This window comes from Homo sapiens, chromosome 1 (genome assembly GCF_000001405.40).
Source record: "Homo sapiens chromosome 1, GRCh38.p14 Primary Assembly".
NCBI classification, from domain to species: domain Eukaryota; kingdom Metazoa; phylum Chordata; class Mammalia; order Primates; family Hominidae; genus Homo; species Homo sapiens.
Window position 1 is genome coordinate 48,295,334 of NC_000001.11, and position 25,364 is coordinate 48,320,697.

A 25,364-nucleotide genomic window follows, 5' to 3' on the forward strand; every position below is an offset into this window, starting at 1 on the left:
CCAAAATATCTATCAATTGAATGGATAAACAAAATGTGGTATATTCATATGATGGATTATTATTTAGTAATAAAAAGGAATGAAGTATTCATACGTGTTACAACATGCATGAACTCTCAAAATATTTTGCTAAGTGAAAGAAGCCACATACAATAGGTCACATGTTGTATGGTTCCATTTATATGAAATGTCCAGAATAGGCATGGAGACAAAAAGCATATAGTGGTTTCCAGGAGTTGTGGGGAGGAGGTAGTGGGAAGTGATCACTAATGGTTACAGGATTTCTTTTGGGAGTTATAAAATATTCTGTAATTAGTGAGTGGTTATTGTTGCACAACTCTGTGAATATAGTAAAAACCACTTAATTGTATACTTTTTCAGAGTGAATTATATCTCAATAAAGCTATTATTAGCAAATGAACACAATAATGAAAATTCTCTATTTGTTCCAGATTTTTCATCAGGGGCTTAATCTTTGGAAATCAGAAAACAACTCTGCCTGCCTAGGACTTCCTGATCGTACATATTAATTGTACAATTATGAAATGTCAAAGGATCATTCTAAATTAACCCTTTTATCACCTTGTTGGTGAGAAAACTGAGCTCCAAGAAGCATAAATGACTTAAATAAGGTTATATAACTAGCTAGTAGAACCAAGGAAGAGTCTCATTCCAATGATTCATCTTTATTTGTCGATTTTGACATTTTTCTAAATCCCAAGGTTTTTTATGATTTAAAGAAAAAAATTAAAAAGTAAAAAGAAAAGCCTATTTATCTTTCATATTAACTCCAATAATTATTTCTAGATTTGTGGGAAATACAGGAAAAAAAAAAGGCTAAGAGAATAAACAACTGCACCTTTCTGCTCCTGTGAATGAGAAAAGACAACTATTAGTACTTAAAGGTTTTACTCTTTAAAAACAATACAGCATAAGCACTCATAGTAGTAGTTACAGCAACATGGACCACTCTTTCCTCCTAGGGGATAGAAGATAATCAGACACTTAGCAAAGATGCTATTAGTATCTGGGAATTTGCCCCCAACTTTCAGAAAGACACTAAATTTAATCCATAGGAAAACATCTTTCAGAGTATTAGTTTCTAAAGTTTCCCTTTCAGCCCTACTTTTTGCAGCCTTTTTCACAGCCAATGGCAGATACAGGTGCAATAAGTAATTTCTGTGGTACTTATTCACTTGGGAGATTTTGGTGATAGTAAAACATTTTCTTTGAAAGTCATGTTTGTTCTTTTCACCAAACAGCAACTCTTAAAAGAATTTTCACTTATTTTTCCATGGAAAAACACTGAGGATATAATTTTTTTAAAAGAGCATTATTCAATGTTGACCTTCAAAAGCTGATTGTAAAATACCTCATCATATAATCTACAGCCAGAGAGTAACTCAGCAATTGTGTAGTCCAGCATTTCTACAACCTAGGTATCCACATGTACCTTAGGATGACATTGGCAGGTAGTGTGAGGAGCTAGGGGAATGGGGGGTGGTGGCAAGAATAACAAATAGTGGTACATGCTAAATTTAGTTTAGAAAATTCTGGGTTAATTCGATAAATATTTAAGGAACATCAATTACATGCCAGGCTGTCTACTAGATGCAGAGTAAGACAGATTTATACCAGAATTTTCTTAAAGCCTCGAACAAGCTACTGTTCACAATGAGCACAGTGACCATATATCCTAATTTGCTGTAGACAGCCCCAGTTTACAGGCGCTATTCCAGCATTAATATCATCTCTTTTTACCTCTATAATCCTACATATGACTCTCTAAGAGGTGTGTGTGTGTGTGTGTGTGTGTGTGTGTGTGTGTGTATGTGTGTAGCAAACAGATTTTCCTAAACTTAGATGGCCAATTACATACTTATACCTACATTCCTACGATTATCTCCTAAAACAGTGATCTTGGTCCACAGAACATAGTTTGGGGTCTACTACATTCTTATCATTTGATAGCTGAGGAAACAAAGGATCTGAGAATTAAATAGACTCAGCTAGAAAACGGCAGACATGGGATACTAAAGCCTAGGACTCCTGGCTCATAGAGATAGCTCTAATGCCCTTTCTGATATATCACAGACTGTGATACTAAAGCACCCTTAACATGATGTTAACAAGTTCTACTACAAAAATAAGTCAGCAAGTTTCACATTTTAATTTCATTTTAAAGGAAGTTCATTTTGTTCTTTTTCAATCATAACTGTAAAATTAATCAAAAACAGAGTCAATGAGAAAATATTATCTTTTAGGCAACTCTTCAAGACTATAAGCCCAGTTCACTTATTCCTACACTCTCCTTTCCCTCCCCTCACTCTCTATTAAATATAAAGTAGCTGATTTCTTTATGTCTTTATAGTATCATTGGCTTCACAGGTGTGTGCTGGGGTGGGGGAGGAGAAGTTAATTCTATCCATCAATCAACAACATTTTCAGTGTCTACCACAAAGCGTTCTGCTATAATATTTTACTCACATTGTGGTTCCAAGTGTTTTTTTTTTTAAAGTGAGGATACTATAATAGTGCCTTGGGCCATATGGTACTTACACAAATTCCAAGCAGTCAAATTACAATATAATTCCATTATTATTTTTAGGTTTCTATAAGCTTACTAACAGAGGCCATTTTCTGATTCTGGTTGCACCAAAAGGTATGGCCCTAGAAAAAAAATCATGCAAAGAATTTTATCTTTAAAAATTAGTTATTCAAATTTTTGATCATCCATGGCACTGATATTTCTAGCTAACTGCTATGCATTTTAAGCAACTTACACAGTTCTTCCAGAGAAAAAGGAGTGAATGATCATATAGTCTTTAAAAAGAAAGCCTATGAGCTAAGAAATAGAATAGCCTGTTCTGAAAAAGGAAAAAGTAGAAAATGTTAGTGAAAACAGGGTTTAAACCCTTAGGAAATTCATTTCTGTATAGGATATCATTTTGTTCATCACCAAGAAAAGGTAGTCAATATTAATTAAATCTTACACAGGCAAGATAACCAGTTAAGTAGATGAGAAGAAAATTGCAAGGTGAGTAAGGCAAAAAAAACATTTCTAGAAAGGAACTATTCTTGGATTTGCAGATGGAATATGAGGTGTACATGTAACAGAATATCCTTGTCACATATTGGAAGTTGTGATTGTGTGACAGAGCTCTAATGTTTGTAACACAGCAGACTCTTCTGTAATAATTATTTTAAAAGGCTTGCCTATGATAATTTACCATTTGAAGTAATGAACTTATTCAAGTATAACTATTGTACTTAGTTATAATCCCATTTTTTTTAAAAAAAGGAATACAGATATTGATCACATCAAACATTTTCATTGAGAAATTGACACGGACACTAATGAGGTTTATCATGGATGGTCTCAGAAGCTTTCCTGTGTATGTGAAGCAGAACTACAGGCCTTTTTGTATAAGTTCCTGTACATCTTGTCCATGCTGTTCTCAAAGATGGGTCGGTGGGATTTTCCCTTATAAGAGGCTGCCCTGTTGGACCAGTATTCACCGTCATCCAAATGGAAAGTGCCACGTGGCTGCTGACATGAGCTATAAAAAGGGATATAAAAGGTTCAAAACAATAATGAAACAAAATTAGAGATAGTACTATGTAAATCAAATATTTATTGAGTACTCTATGGCTATTTAATTCTCTGCTGGGGCTGTGAAAAATAAAACAGAGTAAGGCCTGTGCTTTCAAAGAGGGACATTTTAAAAGGGGAGGCAGAAGTATCTGTGTAAAACTGTTATAAAACAGTAAAATGAAAATTTTGTGTTAGAGTGAAAAAGGAATTCAGAGAACAGACACAGGTACAGCATAATAAAAGCAGAACATAATAAAAGCAGTTCTTATACTGGCCTGGTATGGCCAGTATAAGAATGCACAGCCCAAGGCACAGTGGCTCACGCCTATAATCCCAGCACTTTGGGAGGCTGAGACGAGCAAATCACCTGAGGTCGGGAGTTCGAGACTAGCCAGACCAACATGGAGAAACCCCATATCTACTAAAAAATACAAAATTAGCTGAGGATGGTGGCGCTTGCCTATAATCCCAGCTACTCGGGAGGCTGAGGAAGAAGAATCACTTGAAACCGGGAGGCAGAGGTTGCAGTGAGCTGAGATCACGCCATTGCACCCCAGCCTGGACAACAAGAGCAAAACTCCGTCTCGGAAAAAAAAAAAAAAAAAAAAAGAATGCATAGTTGCTAAAAGTCAGGCATACCTGAAACTGAATTCCAGCTCAGTCCTTTATAAGCTGTGAGACCTTGGGCAATTTATTTAACTATCCAGAGTCTCAACTTCCTTAACTTTAGTTTTACAGGATTGTTTTAAAATTTAAACACAGACGTTATTAAATATGAGACACTAAACCAGGTACTTTATATCTATTTATGAATACATTTTACAACACATAGAAGTTGGTAGATATAGAAATGAAGACTCAGTGAAGTTAAGTGACTTGCCTAAGACTGCTCAGCTAGTAAGTGGCAAAATGAAAAAGACAACGTGTGTGCTCTAAGACCCTTTCTACTATGCCATGCTGCTATTGCCCTCAAGGAGTAGAAAATTAGGCTAACTGTGAACATTTGTGGAAAATGGAAACAAGGCAGAAGAGTTTGAAGTGAAAGGATCAACTGTAGTTTTGAGGGTCTTAAGGAAAAAAGAAGGTGGGAGAGAGAGAGAGAGCGAGCGCATGCAAGAGAGCACGCATGTAAGTGAGAGGAAGCCCATAGGAAGCTAATGAAATAGACTAAGACTGGGCTAGCTGTGATGAAGATAGAAAAGAAAAGGTAACTCTTTCTTAAGGATTAATAGCACTTTTTATGTTATCAGTGTTATAATTTTACTAACATAAATTCCGGAATTACATTTTTTATGGATAAAATGTTGAGTTTATTTTCTTATATAAATAATTGACCTTCTTCAAGGTCAATGAAATACTTTTATAGATTAGACCTTCCAGGCCTGTTAGAGATTGTAAAGTTTCTTCCCAGATACACACAACCTACAAACCAAGATTATACTATGAACAAATACAAAACCTGAACAGACCAATAATGAATAACAATATTGAAACAGTAATAAAAAGTCTCCTATAAAAGAAAAGCCCTGGATCTCTGGCTTCACTGCTGAATTTTACCAAATATTTAAAGAAGAACTAATAAGAAGTCTACTCAAAATATTACAAAAAATTAAAGATATGAGAAAACCCATTTTATAAGACTAGCATTACCCTGGTACCAAAACCAGACAAAAACAACAACAAAAATAAACTACAGGCTAATATTCCTGATGAACAGATGCAAAAATCCTCAACAGAATATTAGAAAATTGAATTCAAAAACACATGAAAAAGATCATTCACCATGATCAAATGGTATTCATTCCAGGGATGCAAGGATGGTTCATCATGGGCAAATCAATAAATGTGATACATAATATCAACAGAATTAAAACAAAAAAAAAGTATAATCATTTCAATGGGTGCTGAAAAAGCATTCAATACAATTCAACATCCACTCATAATAAAACCCCTCCATAAACTGGGCATGGAAGGAACATACCTCAAAATGATAAGGGCCATATACAACAAACTCACAGCTAATATTATACTGAATGGGAAAAAGATCTGAAACAGGACAAAGATGCCCACTTTCGCCACTTATATTCAACATAGTAATGGAAGTCCTAGCCAGAGCAATTAGGCAAATGAAAGAAATAAAGGGGATCCAAACTGAAAAAGAAGTTAAATTATTCCCTTCCATAGAAAACATGATGTTTTATTTAGAAAAACATAAAGACTCCACCAAAAAATTAAAATGAATAAACACATTTAGTAAGGTTGCAAAATAAAAAATTAACATGCAATAATCAACATTTCTATATTCCAACAGTAAACAATCTGCAACAGAGATCAAGAAAGCAATCCCATTTCCAATACTAAAAGAAAAAAAAAAGCCAGAAAAGTGAAAGACTGCTATGACAAAAACTATAAAACACTGATGAAAGAAACTGGAGAACACAAGAAAATGGAAAGATATTCCATGTTCATGGATTGAAAGAATCAATATTGTTAAAATGCCTATACTACCCAAAGCAATCTAGTCAATGCAATCTCTATCAAAACACTAATGACATTCTACACAGCAATAATAATAAAAAAATCCTAAAATTTATTTGGAACCACACACACACACACACAAAAAAAAAAACTAGAATAGCCAAAGCAATCCTGAGCAAACAGAACGAAGTTGGAGGCATCACATAACCTGACTTGAAATTAAACTGTGACGTTATAGTAACCAAAATAGCATAGTACTGGAATAACAACAGACGAATAGACTAATGGAACAGAATAGAGAATGAAGAAATAAATCCACACATTTACAGTAAACTCATTTTTTACAAAGGCACCAAGCACATACATTGGGGAAAGGACAGTCTTTTCAATAAATGGTACTGGGAAAACTGGATATTCATATGCAAAAAAATAAAAATAATGCCTATATCTCACCATATACAAACATCGAACTAAAATGGATTAAATACTTAAATGTGAGACCTGAAAGGATGAAACTATTGAAGAAAATATTGGGAAAATGCTTTAGGATATTGATCTAGGCAAAGATTACTTGAGTAGCATCCAGTTTCCAGTAATTCATTTTTCATGTATATGGGTCATACTTTCTTCTTTACATGTCTCAGAGTTTTTGTAGAAAACAAAGTTTTAGATCTAGTTGAGATTGCAGAAACTCTGGATTCTTTCCGATTCTTTGTTCAATGATTTGCCTGGACTGATATTGTGAACTATTTCTTCACACTGTCCAATTCCTTGTGTCTCTTGTTTCTTTATTTTTTTAATTGTTGCTATTTTATTTTTATAGATTTAGAGGGTGCAAGGGCAGTTTTCTTACATGGATATATTACATAATGGCGAATCTGGGCTTTCAGCTTTTAGTGTACTCATGGTTCAATAGTGAACACTAACCAACAGGTATTTTTTCAACCCCATCCCGCCTTTTAGAATCTCCACACCTTCCCACCTTTTAGAATCTCCAGTGTTTATTATACCTCTCTGTATGTCCATGTGTACCCATTGTTTAGCTCCCATTTACAATGAGAACATGTGGTACTTGTCTTGGCTTCTCAGGGGCTACCCCGGAGTTAACATAGCTTAGTGGCCAGCAAATGACTAGTCAGAGCCAGTAAGCCTATAAGGCTTCCATATTTTGCCAATGGATCTGTATGTGGCTTTGGTAATATATTCAAAGTTTATCTAGTTTATAATTCTGCCCTGGATTTTACTTTCTGCCTTCACAAGGCTTCACATTCAGCCATAAATTAGTGGCTCATTAGGGCCTTCACCAATATCTCTCATGCATATGTACAGCCTTATGCATAAACATAATCTTCTACCCAACCAGGAATAAGTAGAACTTTATCAAGGCCAGCCAACTGTGGCTATCTTCTCTCAGGATCTTTACTGTCTGCCCCAACCAGTATTAAAACTTCAGGCCTCCTCTGCTTGTTTGCCAAGTAGTATTAAAACTTCAGTCCTCCCTTGCTTGTTTGCCAACAAACCATTATTGTTTCTGTTAATGGAATTTCCCATGCTCTGCTCCATATAGTTAGTTATTTCTGGGAGCAAAGCTGCCAGTATTTCAATATGACTTCCCTAGTAGAACTTTTGTGCCATGGAGCTGGGGAGTGGTAGACGGGGATGGAACCTCCAGGTTATAATGTCACAGACTCTAACTGTTCTTACTGATATTCAGTAAATTTTTAAAGTTAATTTTTAAATCGATACATAATAATTGTACATATTCCTAAGGTACATATGATATTTTGATGCCTGCATACAATGTGTAGTGAATCAAATCATGGTAATTAGGATATCACCTCAAACATTTATCACTTCTTTGTATTGGAAACATTCCAAATCTTTCTTCTAGCTATTGTGAAATATACAACAAATTTTTGTTAACTATGGTCACCCTACTGGGCTATCAAACTCTAGAACTTAACCCTTCTTCATAACTGTATTTTTCTACTCATTAACCAACCTCTCTTCACCCTCTATTCCCTCCTCCCCTTCCCAGTCCCTGGTAATCACCATTCTACTCTCCACTTCCATGAGATCAACTTTTTTAGCTGCCACAGATGAGAACATGCAACATTTGTCTTTCTGTGCCTGGCTTATTTCACTTAACATGATGTCCTCTAGTTCCATCCATGTTGTTGCTAATGAAAAGATTTCATTTTTTTATAGCTGAATAATATTCCATTGTGTATATTTTCCACATCTGCTTTCATCCACTGATGGGCACTTAGGTTGATTTCATAGTTTTGTTATTGTGAATAATGCTACAATAAATATGGGAGTGCTGATATTTCTTCAATATGCTGATTTCCTTTCTTTTAGGTAGTATAACCAGTAGATTTTCTTGATAAATGCTTCTCAATTTGTTATATGCTTTTGGTCAATTCCAAGAGTTCTTAAATTGTTTTTGACAATTCTGTTCTGTTTGTTTCTTTGGGGGAAGAGGATTTGCTGAGCTCCTCACTCAGTCATTCCAGAGGTTCATGCGAACTTCTTCATGATGCCTGTGTCAAACGGCATCTGTAGAGGATTGATAGTAAGTCAAGACTGCAAACTCTCTCTTGACTTCTGCTGACAGAAACCTCAAGGCTGGCAAGGAGGTTGATTACTTTGAGTGTAGTTCCTCTAACCTTTGAGATGGAAAGCAGAACGGGAGGACTTCTTGGCCTACTGCATAATATTACTTGAGGATAAAACTAAAATAATATCCTAATCATTTCAATAGCTTCTGGAGCTAATATCAAAGATACTCTTCTGAAAGGTCTTGAAGGACTGACCACTTCATCCAATTGATTCAAGTATATATATAAGAGAAGCAGCAAAGATTATAAAGTGATCTCAAAAATGTGTAAGCAGAACTTTTCTGACACTCTGCTTAACTCTCATTTGAGAGGTACCAAATTGTTCAGGGTGATCAAAAGCTTAATCAATAACACTGCTTGGTAGCTGAAAAAAGAACCAATATTGGGGTTTACGGCAAACTTTAAATTGACAGCAGCACTTCTGAAAATGTAGTATTTATCTACCTACATTAGAATTACCCATGATATCCCATTTTTTATTTTATTGTATTTATTTTGTAGAGACAGGGTCTTGCTATGTTGCCCAGGCTATTCTCAAACTCTTGGCCTCAAGTGATCCTCCGATGGGGGCCTCCCAAAGCACTGGGATTACAGGCGTGAGCCATTGCACCTGGCCCCATGATATCTCTTAAAATACAGATTTCCACATCTTACTTATATATAAGAACCAGCATCTATGGGGGTAAAAAGTGGAAATCTATATTTTTTAAAAACAACTTAGATAATTTGAAAATGAGGCTCTTTCCTGTATCAGTTCTTCTCACTTCTTGCCCAAATTAGAATTAATTATATGGGTTAAGCACCCAAAATCGGGATGCTAATCCATGTAACAATTTAGGGAATATGCCTTTAATGAAAAATAACAAACGGTAAAAAATACTCTTCCTCAGGGTGTGTACCTCTGAATCTTTCTTTTCTTCTTTGGATTGCTTCACCTTCAAATTTACCTATAATAAACTGTTTAAAGAGAGGCCTAGGTTGCTTCTTGCTTGGGAGGCAATAACTTTGAGAAAGGAAGTCACACTCCCACTTATAGTCTGTGTAAGGGGCATAAGGAAAAGTCCTCACATGTTCATAGATGGTCTAGCCTAGCTTACGAGAGTAAAGATCAGAGATTTGAATGCAAAACCCAAGTTAGCAATTAAAAAATATTCCATTCTTTGGAGCTTTGTTTCTTATGTTTGTTCCTCAGGAATCTCAGGAAGGTGAAAGCTATATATTGCAGTAACTAGTGGTATAACATCCAAGAATTCAAAGAACGTTTGGCTGTATAAATCCAAAATTTACACTTTTTAATACTGCATTAAAATTATGTCAGTTGACACAGAGCTGTCAAAAATCTTGATGAAATTTGCTCATATAAACTTGTACAAATGTTATTATTAACATTCCTCAAATTATAGGCGAGAATAGAATTTGCTCTTACAGAATTTGATCTCAAATTATTAAAAAAGGTTGGTTCATGGTGTAAAATTATAAGAACTATTTTTTATATTAAAATAAATACACATTCTGAAGTATGTGAGTTTTCAGGGCAGACAAATCTTAAGTAGGATGAAGGGCATCACCAATAATTGACTATATTTGTTTTTACAGATAAGTTTCAGTAATGCAAACATTAAAATTTTAATAGGAATTTACAGTTAGAAATAAATACTAATTATCCTTTTGAGTCTAAATTTCCCATAAATTCAGCATATTATAAAACAGTTATTTTTATCAGAACTATGAGAAGGATATACATATATTTCATTCATACCTATACTCGGGGTCACTGTCATAGGCAGAGTCTCTACATAAAAGACTTCTTTTCAGTTCCAGTTCATCATCTTTCTCTAGGTCTCTCTCATCCTGAAAAATTTTAAAGATTTCCATTAACTCACTGTCTCATTGTCCCCAAAATGATGCATATGTTTCTTCATAAAATGCTCTTCCCCTCCCTTTATAAATTTTAATTCATAAGAAAGGGAATTAAATGCTAGTGTTTCTTTGGGGGGAAAAAGGTTAAGTGATGATTTACTATCCTTTTCAACAAAACAATACAGTTTTATTATAGTTTTTGCTAATATTGCTTATCAAAGACTAGGTATCCAGTAGATACCTCTTGAATCCATAAAAATAGAGGAATGAATCCTGTGTCATGATATGTAAATTAACATTATCTTATACATTGTTATATGAACTCAAGAGATTGTACCTGCATTTTGAGGAATAAGTATTTGAGAAAATTATGTAGATACAAGCATTCTAACATGCACCTATGACTTACAAAGGAAATGGCTTAGACTTATTAATCAAAAGCCAAAATGCAAAATCAAAAGCCAAAATAACAAGCCAGAAAAGGCAAAAATGAAAGGCAAGATAATTGGAATGAAAATATATGGTTACCCCCACCTTGTATGGGCAGCCTGTTCTTAATTTCTAATAGACACATACAAGGACATAAGAAATAGTATTCTGAAGAGATGGCTTTGTTAACTATATCATTCACAGTTAAATTCATATGTGTGGTAATGGTATATAATTTAATACCAAATATCTTTTTCAACTACTAGCCAATATCCTTGTGTTCCTTAGTCAAACAAGAAGAGAAATAAACAGAACTGATAACAAAAGAAACTAGTAAGCACAAATAAGGATTAGTATTAGTAAGGGGTTCATTCACTTTATGTAAGAAATCAGCTGAATGCACATTGTGAAGAAAAATGATTTTAAAAATTTGCTGATGGCATGAAACTAGGAAGAGAGCATTATGTGTAAACGTGTGCAATAAATGATAGAGCTTGTTTAAAAATCACAGAAAATATGCATACAAATTTAGAATTGTTATAGTTTCTCGGTTTTATCATTATGAAGTAGCCTTTATTTCTGTAACTGCTTTTTTTTCCCTTAACTTATTTGGTCTACTATTCATATAGATACAACCACTTTCTTTTAGTTAGTGCTTTAATGGTATATATTTGTCCTTTTATTTTCAGCCATTCCTTACTATTAGATCTTTTTCTTGAATGGCATATTATTGGATGTTCCTTATTTTTACCTATTCCGAGAAGTCAATGCAGTGGAGCATTTACTGTATTATCAAAGAAAATGTAATTGCCTGTAGTGAGTGTGAAAGACTTGGCAAAGAAACGAAATAAAAAGGATAGCTGTCTTAAAGGGAGTAAAAATACAACTACTAAAACTATTCCTGTGGAGTGATGATGCCCATCTAGATCAAGGATATCATATAGGGGTATTCAGACCTGAGAAACAAAAAGGAACAGATTAGCTTAAAAGTTATTCCTTTCAAATTTTCAGACTATATTTTGTGATATTTTATATATATATAATTATATATTTATGTTTATATATAATCATATACATTTATATTCATATATATATAACTTGCCCTTTGAAAAAATAATCTATACAAGGACCCATCTTTTGTAAGAGTCCCTGTATAGATTATTTTTTCAAAGGACAAGTTATTCACAAACAAGGAGGCAACAAGGATCACATCTTATTATAAGCTATTAACTATGTATTGGTCTTTCTTGCTTTGTTGCACATCTTGTAATTTTGTGTAGACATGTGGAAATTTTAAGTAATATAATGTGACATATCTGGAAGGAATATTTCCTTATTTATCTTCTGTCTGTCCTATCCACTGGTGAATATGGGATACTGAGGTCTCTATTATATTGCATATCTATTTCTTCTTTCTATTCTATCAGTTTTTCCTTATATTTTTGGGATCTCTTTTAAGTGCATATATATTTGTAATGGTCATATCTTCCTGATGGTTTGGCCCTGTTGCCGTTATAAAATATTTTTATTTGTCTTTAGTATTAGTAAGAAAAAAATTCTCTTAAAGTCTATTTGTCCAATATTTGTGTAGCCACTGCAATTCTCTTATGCTGAATGCTATGCTTTTGTTTTCTTTTACACTGAACTTATTTGTGCCTTTGAATCTAAAGTGCATCTCTTGTAGACAGAATATAGTATAATCACGATTTTTATCCAGTCTCCAAAATTCTACCTCCTAATTGGAGTGTTTAATATTTTAAATATCATGAACCACCTATAGGTATGTTTACATACCTATATGATTTACATTTGCCATTTTGCTATTTTCTATGTCTTTTTTCATTTCTCCATCGTTGCCTTCTTTTGTGTTAGATATTTTCCAGGGTTCATTTTTAATTCCCTATACACTATATTTTTGAGACATTTTCTTACTACTTTCCATGAGGATTACAAATAACATCTTAATACAGAAGAATCTAAGTTTAGATGATATCAACTTAATTTCAACGGGATATGGAAACTTTGCTCTTACATGTTTACAGTCCCTCCCCTTTTAATTGCTATTTTTACATAAATTACATCTTTATATACTATGTTCCTACCAACAAATATTTATAATTATTGTTTTGTGAGGTCATCTCTTAAATCAGATATAAGAACTAAAGAGTTACTGGCAAAAACTGTATTTAGCCTATCTTTTATATTTACCTAGTTACCATTATCATTGCTCTTTATTTCTTCATGTGAATCTGAGCTACTGTCTAGTGTCCTTTCACTTCATCCTGAAGAGCTCCTTTTAGTATTTCTTGTAGTGCAGATCTGCTAGTGATAAACTTGGTTTTATTTGAGAATGCTAATTTATTCCATATTTTTGAAAGACAGTTTTGCTGGATATTCATGGTTGAGAGTTCTTTCCTTTTCAGTACATTGAATATATCATTACACTGCCTTTTGGACTCCACAGTTTCTGATTTAAACCAGTTTTAAATCTTATTGAGGAACACATTTATGTGATGAATTCCTTCTCCCTTGCTGCTTTTAAGATTCTCTTTTTGACTCTGGCTTTTTTCAAAACACTTTTTTTCTAGATATAGGGTCTAACTCTGTCACCCAGGCTGAAATGCAGTGGCGAAATCATAGCTCACTGTAGCCTTGAACTCCTGGGCTCAAGTGATTCTCCCATTTCAACCTTCTGAATATTAGGGATTACAGGTACTTGCCACAATGCCAGGCTTATCTTTGGCTTCAGACTTACGGTTTATAATGAGTCTCAAGTGTGGATCTATTTGAGTTTATCCTACTTAAGAGTTTATTGAGCTCCTTAGATAATAATTTTCTTCAATTTGGCAAGGACCATTATTTCTCCAAATATTCCTTCTGTCCCTTCCTTTCTCCCTCTTTTTCTGGAATTCTTATTACAGTATGTTGGCATGCTTAATGGTATCCCACAAATCCTTATGTGTTCATTATTTTTATTCTTCTTTCTGTTCCTCACACTGAATTATCTCATTTGACTTGTCTTCAAGTCCAATAATATTTTCTTCTGCCTGCTCGTAGGGTGCCAATGAGTCCTTCTAATAAATTTTTCATTTCTGGAGATTTTCATTTCAAAAAATTTTCATTTCTGAATATGTACTTGTCAACTTCAGGATTTCTATTTGGTTACTTAAAAAATAGTTTATAACTTTTGATTGAAATTTTATATTTTATGAGACATAATTCTAACACTTTATTTCTTTATAAATGCTTTCTTTTGGTTCTTTGAATAACTATATTTAACATAACTGATTTATGGTCTTTGTTTAGTGAGTCCAATGTGTAAGATCCTCAAGGACAGTTCCTATTCATTGTTTTCTCCATTTCCACTGTTTATTGTTGTTGTTTATTCTAGTTATTAGCATAGTGATTTTCTGACTTAGTTCTGCAAAGTCAACATTCCTTTTTGTGGGTGATCACTGATATCTCTATTCTGTTAGCTGAGTCATCAAGTAATGATTGGACAGACATTTCTATAAACGCTTAGAACCATTAAGTCTCCCAGTGTTTGCTGAGCAGCTCTGTATGTTGAGAGTACACTTTCAACACTTAGCCTAAGCCGTAACTGATTGTTTATGCAGAGCCTTAAGGTAGGCTGGAATTGAAAGCTAAGGGCCTTCTTGTCTTTTCTAATCAAGTACATAGCCTTGGACATATGCACAGTCCTACAAATATGAGTGGTATTCTAAAATCCCAGGAATGTGTGGTAGCTTTTCAAAGCCCCCTATGCACACATTCAGCTTTTTCTTTGAAGGTTTTTCATTGGTCTATTGTTTAATTCAATGGCTATCCACCATTTCAGTTGGCAATGAGGTTTAACAATTGCCTGTAATTATTTCTTTTAAAAATGCCCTCCAGGGCAAAGATTTTGCACTGGGAAAGCTCTCACTCAAAGTGGGGTCTTCCAGGCAATCTCCAGCAAGTCAAGTAATTACAATTCTCTGGGAATGGTCTTTGAAGAAATCCTAACTTTATTTTACCTCTAACAGTGCCTGCCAAAATTTTGGTTTTCACTGAGATTGTGACATGTTGGTTATCAAGCCTACTATGCAGCTAGAGAGCAGGAGATGGGACTCGGTCAAGTTAAAATGCCATAAAACTTACTGTCCCTACCAATATTTAGCTGTTTTTCATGTTGAAGCATTTGCTTGAGTTTCTAGAGATAAAGTGTATGAACTTGTGAGAGCCCCCTAGGACTCTGGCCCCAAGGAGTTTTTTACTCTCATGCTGTATTTGTCAGGATTCTCTAGAGAAAACAGAACCAACAGGATGTGTGTACAGTTCGAAGACAGCAATATTTGATTTTTCAACAATGAACAGAACAATCAGGCAGAAGATCAACCAGTAAATGGAAGACCTAAACAACAATATAAATCAACCAGACCTAACAACATCTATAGAACATTCCACCCAACGATAGCAAAATACATATTCTTTTCAAGTGCATATGAAAAATTCTTGAAGAATGTTAGGCTATAAAACAAGTTTCAATAAATTTGAAAGAACTGAAATCATACAAAATATGTTACCTGGCCACAATAACATGAAATTAGAGAATAATAGCAGAAGAAAATTTGGGTAATTAATAAATATGTAGAAATCAAACAATATACTACTAAATGATCAGTAGGCCAAATAAAACAGCACAAGGGACACTAGAAAATGCTTCAAGAGAAATTTAAAATATAACAAAACATATAAAACTTAATAATGAAAATGAGGCAGTGCTTCTAGAGGAACATGGCTATAAACACCTACATGAAAAAAGAAGACCTCAAATCAATAACCCAAAGCTTTTACTTCAAAAACTAGAAAAAGAACATCAAACCAAATCCAAAACAAGTAAAATACAAACATTAGGATGGAAATAAATGAGATCAAAAATAGAAAACTGGATAAAACCAATGAAAACCAAAGTTGCTTCTTTGAAACCATAAAACATTTGACAATGTTTTAGTTAGACCAAGGCTCTAATTACTAACATCAGGAATGAAAAATGGGACATTACTAGAGATCTTACAGAAATAAAAAGGGTAATAAGGAAATGCATGAAATAATTGTAAACCAAAATAATTATAGAATTGTCTAGAATGGTATCTATAAATAAAAGAACAAATTACTAGAAAGATAAAAACTATTTAAACAGATCCAAGAAGAAACAGGAAATCTGAATACACCTATAATAAAGAAAGAGAGTGAATTAGTAATCAAAAAAACTTAAATTAAAAAAACTTAGGGAGCCAAGATAGCTGAATAGGAACACCTCCAGTCTACAGCTCCCAACGTGAGCGACACAGAAGACAAATGATTTCTGCATTTCCAACTGAGGTACCAGGTTCATCTCACTAGGGACTGTCGGACAGTGGGTGCAGGACAGTGGGTGCAGTGCACCGAGCGTGAGCCGAAGCAGGGCAAGGCATCACCTCCCCCGGGAAGTACAAGGGGTGAGGGAATTCCCTTTCCTAGCCAAGGAAAAGGGTGACAGATGGTACCTGGAAATTCGGGTCACTCCCACCCTAATACTGTGCTTTTCCAATGGTCTTAGCAAACGGCACACCAGGAGATTGTATCCCGCGATTGGCTTGGAGGGTCCTACGCCCACGGAGCCTCACTCATTGCTACCACAACAGTCTGAGATAAAACTGCAAGGTGGCAGCGAGGCTGGGGGAGGGGCGCCCATTGCCCAGGCTTGAGTAGGTAAACAAAGCGGCCAGGAAGCTCAAACTCGGTGGAGCCCACCACAGCTCAAGGAGGCCTGCCTCCCACTGTAGACTCCACCTCTGGGGGCAGGGAATAGCGAAACAAAAGGCAGCAGAAACCTCTGCAGACTTAAATGTCCCTGTCTGACATCTTTGAAGAGAGTAGTGGTTCTCCCAGCATGCAGCTGGAGATAAAGAGAATGGACAGACTACCTCCTCAAGTGGGTCCCTGACACCCGAGCAGCCTAACTGGGAGGCACCCCCCAGTAGGGGCAGACTGACTACTCTGAGACAAAACTTCCAGAGGAAAGATCAGGCAGCAACATTTGCTGTTCACCAAGATCCGCTGTTCTGCAGTCTTCGCTGCTGATACCCAGGCAAATAGGGTCTGGAATGGACCTCCAGCAAATTCCAACAGACCTGCAGCTGAGGGTCCTCACTGCTAGAAGGAAAACTAACAAAAAGAAAGGACACCCAAACCAAAAACCCATCTGTACGTCACCATCATCAAAGATCAAAGGCAGATACAACCACAAAGATGGGGAAAAAACAGAGCAGAAAAACTGAAAATTCTAAAAATCAGAGCACCTCTCCTCCTCCAAAGGAATGCAGCTCCTCACCAGCAACGGAACAAAGTGGGATGGAGAATGAATTTGACGAGTTGAGAGAAGAAGGCTTCAGATGATCAAACGACTCCAAGCTAAAGGAGGAAGTTAGAACCCATGGCAAAGAAGTTAAAAACCTTGAAAAAAGATTAGACGAATGGCTAACTACAATAACCAATGCAGAGAAGTCCTTAAAGGACCTGATGGAGCTGAAAACCACGGCAAGAGACAAACGTGACGAATGCACAAGCCTCAGTAGCTGATTCAATCAACTGTAAGAAAGGGCATCAGTGATGGAAGATCAAATGAATGACATGAAGCGAGAAGTTTAGAGAAAAAAATAAATAAAAAGAAACTAACAAAGCCTCCAAGAAATATGGGACTATGTGAAAAGACCAAATCTGTGTCTGATTGGTGTACCTGAAAGTGACGGGGAGAATGGAACCAAGTTGGAAAACACTCCACAGGATATTTTCCAGGAGAACTTCCCCAGTCTAGCAATGCAGGCTGACATTCAAATTCAGGAAATACAGAGAATGCCACAAAGATACTCCTCGAGAAGAGCAACTCCAAGACACATAATTGTCAGATTCACCAAAGTTTAAATGAAGGCAAAAATGTTAAGGGCAGCCAGAGAGAAAGGTCGGGTTACCCACAAAGGGAGGCCCATCAGACTAACAGCTGATCTCTTGGCAGAAACTCTACAAGCCAGAAGAGAGTGGGGGCCAATATTCAACATTCTTAAAGAAAAGAATTTTCAACCCAGAATTTCATATCCAGCCAAACTAAGCTTCATAAGTGAAGGAGAAATAAAATCCTTTACAGACAAGCAAATGCTGAGAGATTTTGTCACCACCAGGCCTGCCCTAAAAGAGCTCCTGAAGGAAGCACTAAACATCGAAAGGAACAACTGGTACCAGCCACTGCAAAAACATGCCAAATTGTAACGACCATCGAGGCTAGGAAGAAACTGCATCAACTAATGAGCAAAATAACCAGATAACATCATAATGACAGGATCAAATTCACACATAACCATATTAACATTAAATGTAAATGGGCTAAATATTCCAATTAAAAGACACAGACTGGCAAACTGGATAAAGAGTCAAGACCCATCAGTGTGCTGTACTCAGGAGACCCATCTTATGTGCAGAGACACACATAGGCTCAAAATAAAGGGATGGAGGAAGATCAAGCAAATGGAAAACAAAAAAAGGCAGGGGTTGCAATCCCAGTCTCTGATAAAACAAACTTTAAATCAACAAAGATAAAAAGAGACAAAGAAGCCCATTACATAATGGTAAAGGGATCAATTCAACAAGAAGAGCTAACTATCCTAAATACATATGCACCCAATACAGGAGCATCAAGATTCATAAAGCAAGTCCTTAGAGACCTACAAAGAGACTTAGACTCCCACACAATAATAATGGGAGACTTTGACACCCCACTGTCAACATTAGACAGATCAACGAGACACAAAGTTAACAAGGATATCCAGGAATTGAACTCAGCTCTGCACCAAGCAGACCTAATAGACATCTACAGAACTCTCCACCCCGAATCAACAGAATATACATTCTTTTCAGCACCACACCACACCTATTCCAAAACTGACCACATAGTTGGAAGTAAAGCACTCCTCAGCAAATGTAAAAGAACAGAAATTATAACAAACTGTCTCTCAGACCACAGTGCAATCAAACTAGAACTCAGGATTAAGAAACTCACTCAAAACCGCTCAACTACATGGAAACTGAACAACCTGCTCCTGAATGACTACTGGGTACATAATGAAATGAAGGCAGAAATAAAGATGTTCTTTGAAACCAATAAGAACAAAGACACAACATACCAGAATCTCTGGGACACATTTAAAGCACTGTGTAGCGGGAAATTTATAGCACTAAATGCCCACAAGAGAAAGCAGGAAAGATCTAAAATTGACACTCTAACATCACAATTAAAAGAACTACAGAAGCAAGAGCAAACACATTCAAAACCTGGCAGAAGACAAGAAATAACTAAGATCAGAGCAGAACTGAAGGAGACAGAGACACAAAAGACCCTTCAAAAAATCAATGAATCCAGGAGCTGGTTTTTTGAAAAGATCAACAAAATTGATAGACCGCTAGCAACACTAATAAAGAAGAAAAGAGAGAAGAATCAAATAAACGCAATAAAAAAATGATAAAGGGGATATCACCACCGATCCGACAGAAATACAAACTACCATCAGAGAATACTATAAACACCTCTATGCAAATAAACTAGAAAATCTAGAATAAATGGATAAATCCTTGACACATACACCCTCCCAAGACTAAACCAGGAAGAAGCTGAATCTCTGAATAGACCAATAACAGGCTCTGAAATTGAGGCAATAATTAATAGCTTACCAAACAAAAAAAGCCCAGGACCAGACGGATTCACAGCCGAATTCTACCAGAGGTACAAGGAGGAGCTGGTACCATTCCTTCTGAAACTATTCCAATCAACACAAAAAGAGGGAATCCTCCCTAACTCATTTTATGAGGCGAGCATCATCCTGATACCAAAGCCTGGCAGAGACATAACAAAAAAGAGAATTTTAGACCAATATCCCTGATGAACATAGATGCAAAAATCCTCAATAAAATACAGGCAAACTGAATCCAGCAACACATCAAAAACTTATCCATCATGATCAAGTGGGCTTCATCCCTGGGATGCAAGCCTGGTTCAACATACACAAATCAATAAACATAATCCAACATATAAACAGAACCAAAGACAAAAACGACATGATTATCTCAATAGATGCAAAAAAGGCCTGTGACAAAATTCAACAACCTTCATGCTAAAAACTCTCAATAAATTAGGTATTGATGGGATGTATCTCAAAATAATAAGAGCTATCTATGACAAACCCACAGCCAATATCATACTGAATGGGCAAAAACTGGAAGCATTCCCTTTGAAAACTGGCACAAGACAGGGATGCCCTCTCTCACCACTCCTATTCAACATAGTGTTGGAAGTTCTGGCCACGGCAATGAGGCAGGAGAAGGAAATAAAGGGTATTCAATTAGGAAAAGAGGAAGTCAAATTGTCCCTGTTTGCAGCTGACATGATTGTATATCTAGAAAACCCCATCATCTCAGCCCAAAATCTCCTTAAGCTGATAAGCAACGTCAGCAAAGTTTCAGGATACAAAATCAATGTGAAAAAATCACAAGGATTCTTATATACCAAGAACAAACAGAGAGCCAAATCATGAGTGAACTCCCATTCACAACTGCTTCAAAGAGAATAAAATACTTCGAAACCAATTTAAAAGGGATGTGAAGGGCCTCTTCAAGGAGAACTACAAACCACTGCTCAAGGAAATAAAAGATACAAACAAATGGAAGAACATTCCATGCTCACGGGTAGGAAGAATCAATATCATGAAAATGGCCATACTGCCCAAGGTAATTTACAGATTCAATGCCAACCCCATCAAGCTACCAGTGACTTTCTTCATAGAATTGGAAAAAACTACTTTAAAGTTCATATGGAAACAAAAAGGAGCCCGCATTACCAAGTCAATTCTAAGCCAAAAGAACAAAGCTGGAGGCATCACGCTACCTGACTTCAAACTATACTACAAGGCTACAGTAACCAAAACAGCATGGTACTGGTACCAAAACAGAGATATAGACCAATGGAACAGAACAGAGCCCTCAGAAATAATGCCGCATATCTACAACTATCTGATCTTTGACAAACGTGACAAAAACAAAAAATGGGGAAAGGATTCCCTATTTAATAAATAGTGCTGGGAAAACTGGCTAGCCATATTTAGAAAGCTGAAACTGGATCCCTTCCTACACCTTATACAAAAATTAATTCAAGATGGATTAAAGACTTACTTGTTAGACCTAAAACCATAAAAACCCTAGAAGAAAACCTAGGCAATACCATTCAGGACATAGGCATGAGCAAGGACTTCATGTCTAAAACACCAAAAGCAGTGGCAACAAAAGCCAAAATTGACAAATGGGATCTAATTAAACTAAAGAGCTTCTGCACAGCAAAAGAAACTACCATCAGAGTGAACAGGCAACCCACAGAATGGGAGAAAATTTTTGCAATCTACTAATCTGACAAAGGGCTAATATCTAGAATCTGCAATGAACTAAAACAAATTTACAAGAAAAAAACAACCCCATCAAAAAGTGTGCAAAGGATATGAACAGACACTTCTCAAAAGAAGACATTTATGCAGCCAACAGACACATGAAAAAATGCTCATCATCACTGGCCATCAGAGAAATGCAAATCAAAACCACAATGAGATACCATCTCACACCAGTTAGAATGGCAATCATTAAAAAGTCAGGAAACAACAGGTGCTGGAAAGATGTGAAGAAATAGGAACACTTTTACACTGTTGGTGGGACTGTAAACTAGTTCAACGATTGTGGAGGTCAGTGTGGTGATTCCTCAGGGATCTAGAACTAGAAATACCATTTGACCCAGCCATCCCATTACTGGGTATATACCCAAAGGATTATAAATCATGCTGTGATAAAGACACATGCACACATATGTTTATCGCGGCATTATTCACAATAGCAAGACTTGGAACCAACCCAAATGTCCAACAATGATAGACTGGATTAAGAAAATGTGGCACATATACACTGTGGAATACTATGCAGCCATAAAAAATGATGAGTTCATGTCCTTTGTAGGGACATGGATGAAGCTGGAAACCATCATTCTCAGCAAACTATTGCAAGGACAAAAAACCAAACACCGCATGTTCTCACTCACAGGTGGGAACTGAACAATGAGAACACATGGACACAGGAAGGGGAACATCACACACTGGGGCCTGTTGTGGGGTGGGGGGAGAGGGGAGGGATAGCATTAGGAGATATACCTAATGTTAAATGATGAGTTAATGGGTGCAGCACACCAACATAGCACATGTATATATATGTAACAAACCTGCACGTTGTGCACATGTACCTTAAAACTTAAAGTAAAAAAAAAATAAAAAACTTAACACAAAGAAGAGCTCAAAAGCACATGGCTTCATGGTGTTATATATTTAAGAAGAAAGAACACCAAATCTTTACAACTTCTTCCCAAAAATTTAAGAGGAAGAAGAACTCACCAACTCATTCTATAAGGTCTTTATTCCTTTGATACCAAAAGCACAATTTAAAAAAACCCTGAAAACCAATACATTTTATGAATACAGATGCAAAATTTCTCAGTAAAATACTAGCAAGCCAAATCCAGCAAGACATAAAAAGAATTATACACCACAACCAACTGGGAATTATCCAAAGAATGCAAGGTTGACTCATATAAAATTCAATCAATGTAAGGTCATATTAACAGAATAAAGGACAAAATGATAGGATCATCTCAATAGATGCAGGGAAAGCATTTGACAAATACCAAGAACATTCAACAAACTAGGAGTAGAAGGAAATTCCTCAAGATGGTAAATGCCATCTGTTAAAAACATATAGTTAATAGCATACTTATTTTTAAAGGAGTGAAATCTTCTAAGATCAGGAATAAAACAAGGATGGGCACTCTCCCCACTTCTATTCAGCAGTATATTGGGGGTGCTATCCAGAACAATTAGCCAAGAATATGACATAAGAGAAATCAAGATCAGAAAGGAAATAAAAATATTTCTATTTGCAGATAAGATGATTCTGTATTTTAAAAATTCCACACAAATACACAAAATAACTATTAGAGCTAATAAGTTCAGCAAGATTTCAGGATTTAAGATTAACATATGAAAATGCATTGTATTCCTAAACACTATCAATAAACAATCTGAAAATAAAATTAAGGAAACAATACCATGTAAAATAGCATCAAAAATAACAAAATACTTAGGAGTAAACTTGATTTTTTAATGGCTTAAAATGAACACTGAACTATAAAACATATTTCATATAAGATGACATAAATAAATTTTTAAAGTGCTATCTTCACAGATCAAAAGATATTTAAACAATTATTATTAAGAAAGCAATATCCTCCAAAATGATCTAGAGAGCTAACACAATTCCTATACAATTCCGGCCACAGTTTTCTTGCAAAAATTGAAAAGTTGATCCTAAAATTCATACAGAAATGCAAAGGACCTAGAATAGTTATTCTTGAAAAAGAAGAAAAGGTGGAAGACTAACAATTCCTGATATCAAAATTTACTACAAAAGCCATCACAATCAAAATAGTATGATAATAGCATAAGGACAGATATATAGATCAATGAAACAGAATTAAGAATCCAGAAATAAACCCATACATTTATAGTCAACTGATTTTTTTATAAAGATGCCAAGACAATTCAATGGGGGAGCAATCTTTTTAAGAAATGGTGCTGTGACAACCAGATTTCCACATGAAAAAGAATTAATTTGGACTCTCTATCTCACACAAAATACAAAAATCAACTCAAAATTGATCAATGACCTAAATGTAAAGGCCAATACTGTAAAACTCTTAGAAAACATAGGCATAAATTTTTATGTCCCTAGACTAAGCAACAATTTCTGAGATATCCTAAGCAAAAGTAACCAAAGAAAACATAGAAAAGTTGGATTTCATCAAAATTTTAAAAACTTTTATGCTTCAAAACACAGTATTAGGAAGGTGGAAGACAAACCACAAACATAAGAATATATTTGCAAACCTTATTATCTAAGATGGGACTTGTACTCAGAATATATAAAGAGCTCTCAAAATCCAGTAATAAGGCAGATAACTATAAGCAGCTAGTGAGCGCCTCTGTCATGGAGAGCAATCAAAATAGCAAGGAAATGCTAACACTTCAAGTAGATTGTCTAAGAGAGCACAATGAAATTCACCAGAGAAGCCATGAAAATCAAGGAAAGAAGATAGTGAAGTCAGGCAGCCCTCCAAGCAGGACTGGCGCAGAGCTAGGAAAGGTTCCCTAAAGCAGGAAAGGGATGACTAAATAAGAGATCCTCAGTATTCCACCCTTCCATCACAGAACATTGTAATCCTATTCACTGCAGAGCCCTGTTGACCCTGCACCCCTGCTCCAACACCTCCAGACTAACACAGCGAGCCACCTGGAGATTGTGTACAGGCACTGCTCAAGCCCAGGTGGAATCCCACAGGCTTGTGATCCCTGAGCATCCCGGTGACAACTGCTGCACCCAACCAAGGAGGAAGGCCGAGCACTTTCACATGCCCCAAAGACAGATACCACATCCACAGTATGGAGAAGAGGGCAAACTATGCACTGTGCAACTTCCCACTTCCACTGCTCCCTGCAGAAAAAGGCACCCCTGCCTTAGTGTCATGCCCCCAGTGCAGCCACCCTTCCCCGCCTGTGGACTACCACTGCAGCTCAGCATTTCTCTGAGAGCCCAGTCCCCAGAGGCTGTTGATGAGCCCTTTGTCTCCTACAACAGTCACCACCATTGCTCAAATAGTCTCAAAAGGACAAATCTAAGAGATATTGGCCTTAAAGAGGAGGTAGAAAAAGAGATAGGGTAGAAAGTTTATTCAAAGGGATAATAACAGAGAACTTCCAAAGCCTAGATAAAGATATTGGTAATCAAGTACAAGAGGGTTATAGCAAACCAAGAAGATTTAACCCAACTAAGACTACCTCAAGACATTTTACAATCCAACTGCCGAATACCAAAGATACAGAAAAGATCCAAAAAGCAGCAAGAGAAAAACAAGTAACACACAAATGAACTCCAAAACATCCGGCAGCAAGCTGACTTCTCAGTGGAAACCTTACAGGCCAGGAAAGGGTAGCAACATGTATTTAAAGTGCTGAAGGAAAACCTTGTATTGTAGAATAGTATATCTGGCAAAAAGATCTTTCAAACATTAAGGAGAAATAAAGACTTTCCCAGACAAACAAGAGCTGAGGGACTTCGTCAACAGCAGACCTGTCCTATGAGAAATGCAAAAGGAAGTTCTTCAATATGAAAGAAAAGGATGTTAATGAGCAATAACAAATCATCTGAAGGTATAAAACTTATTGGTAATAGTA

At 35.9% G+C, this 25,364-nt stretch overlaps 1 protein-coding gene across 19 annotated transcripts in view; it reads right to left on the reverse strand.

The window, feature by feature from the left end:
• The window catches only part of SPATA6 (spermatogenesis associated 6), a 210,816-nt gene that overhangs the window by 33,945 nt on the left and 151,507 nt on the right, over positions 1-25,364 (reverse strand). For 13 of the 19 annotated variants that reach the window (XM_047422902.1, XM_017001510.2, NM_001286239.2 and 10 more), the window contains 2 exons: positions 10,454-10,545; positions 40-3,560 (listed from right to left, as the gene is read on the reverse strand). In XM_047422902.1, the coding sequence (XP_047278858.1) occupies positions 3,380-3,560; positions 10,454-10,545 (273 nt within the window). In that variant the 3' untranslated portion in view covers positions 40-3,379. Of the gene's footprint in view, positions 1-39; positions 3,561-10,453; positions 10,546-25,364 lie in introns of those variants that run through there. The other 6 variants (XM_047422913.1, XM_047422901.1, XM_006710699.4 and 3 more) reach the window with 3 other exon arrangements.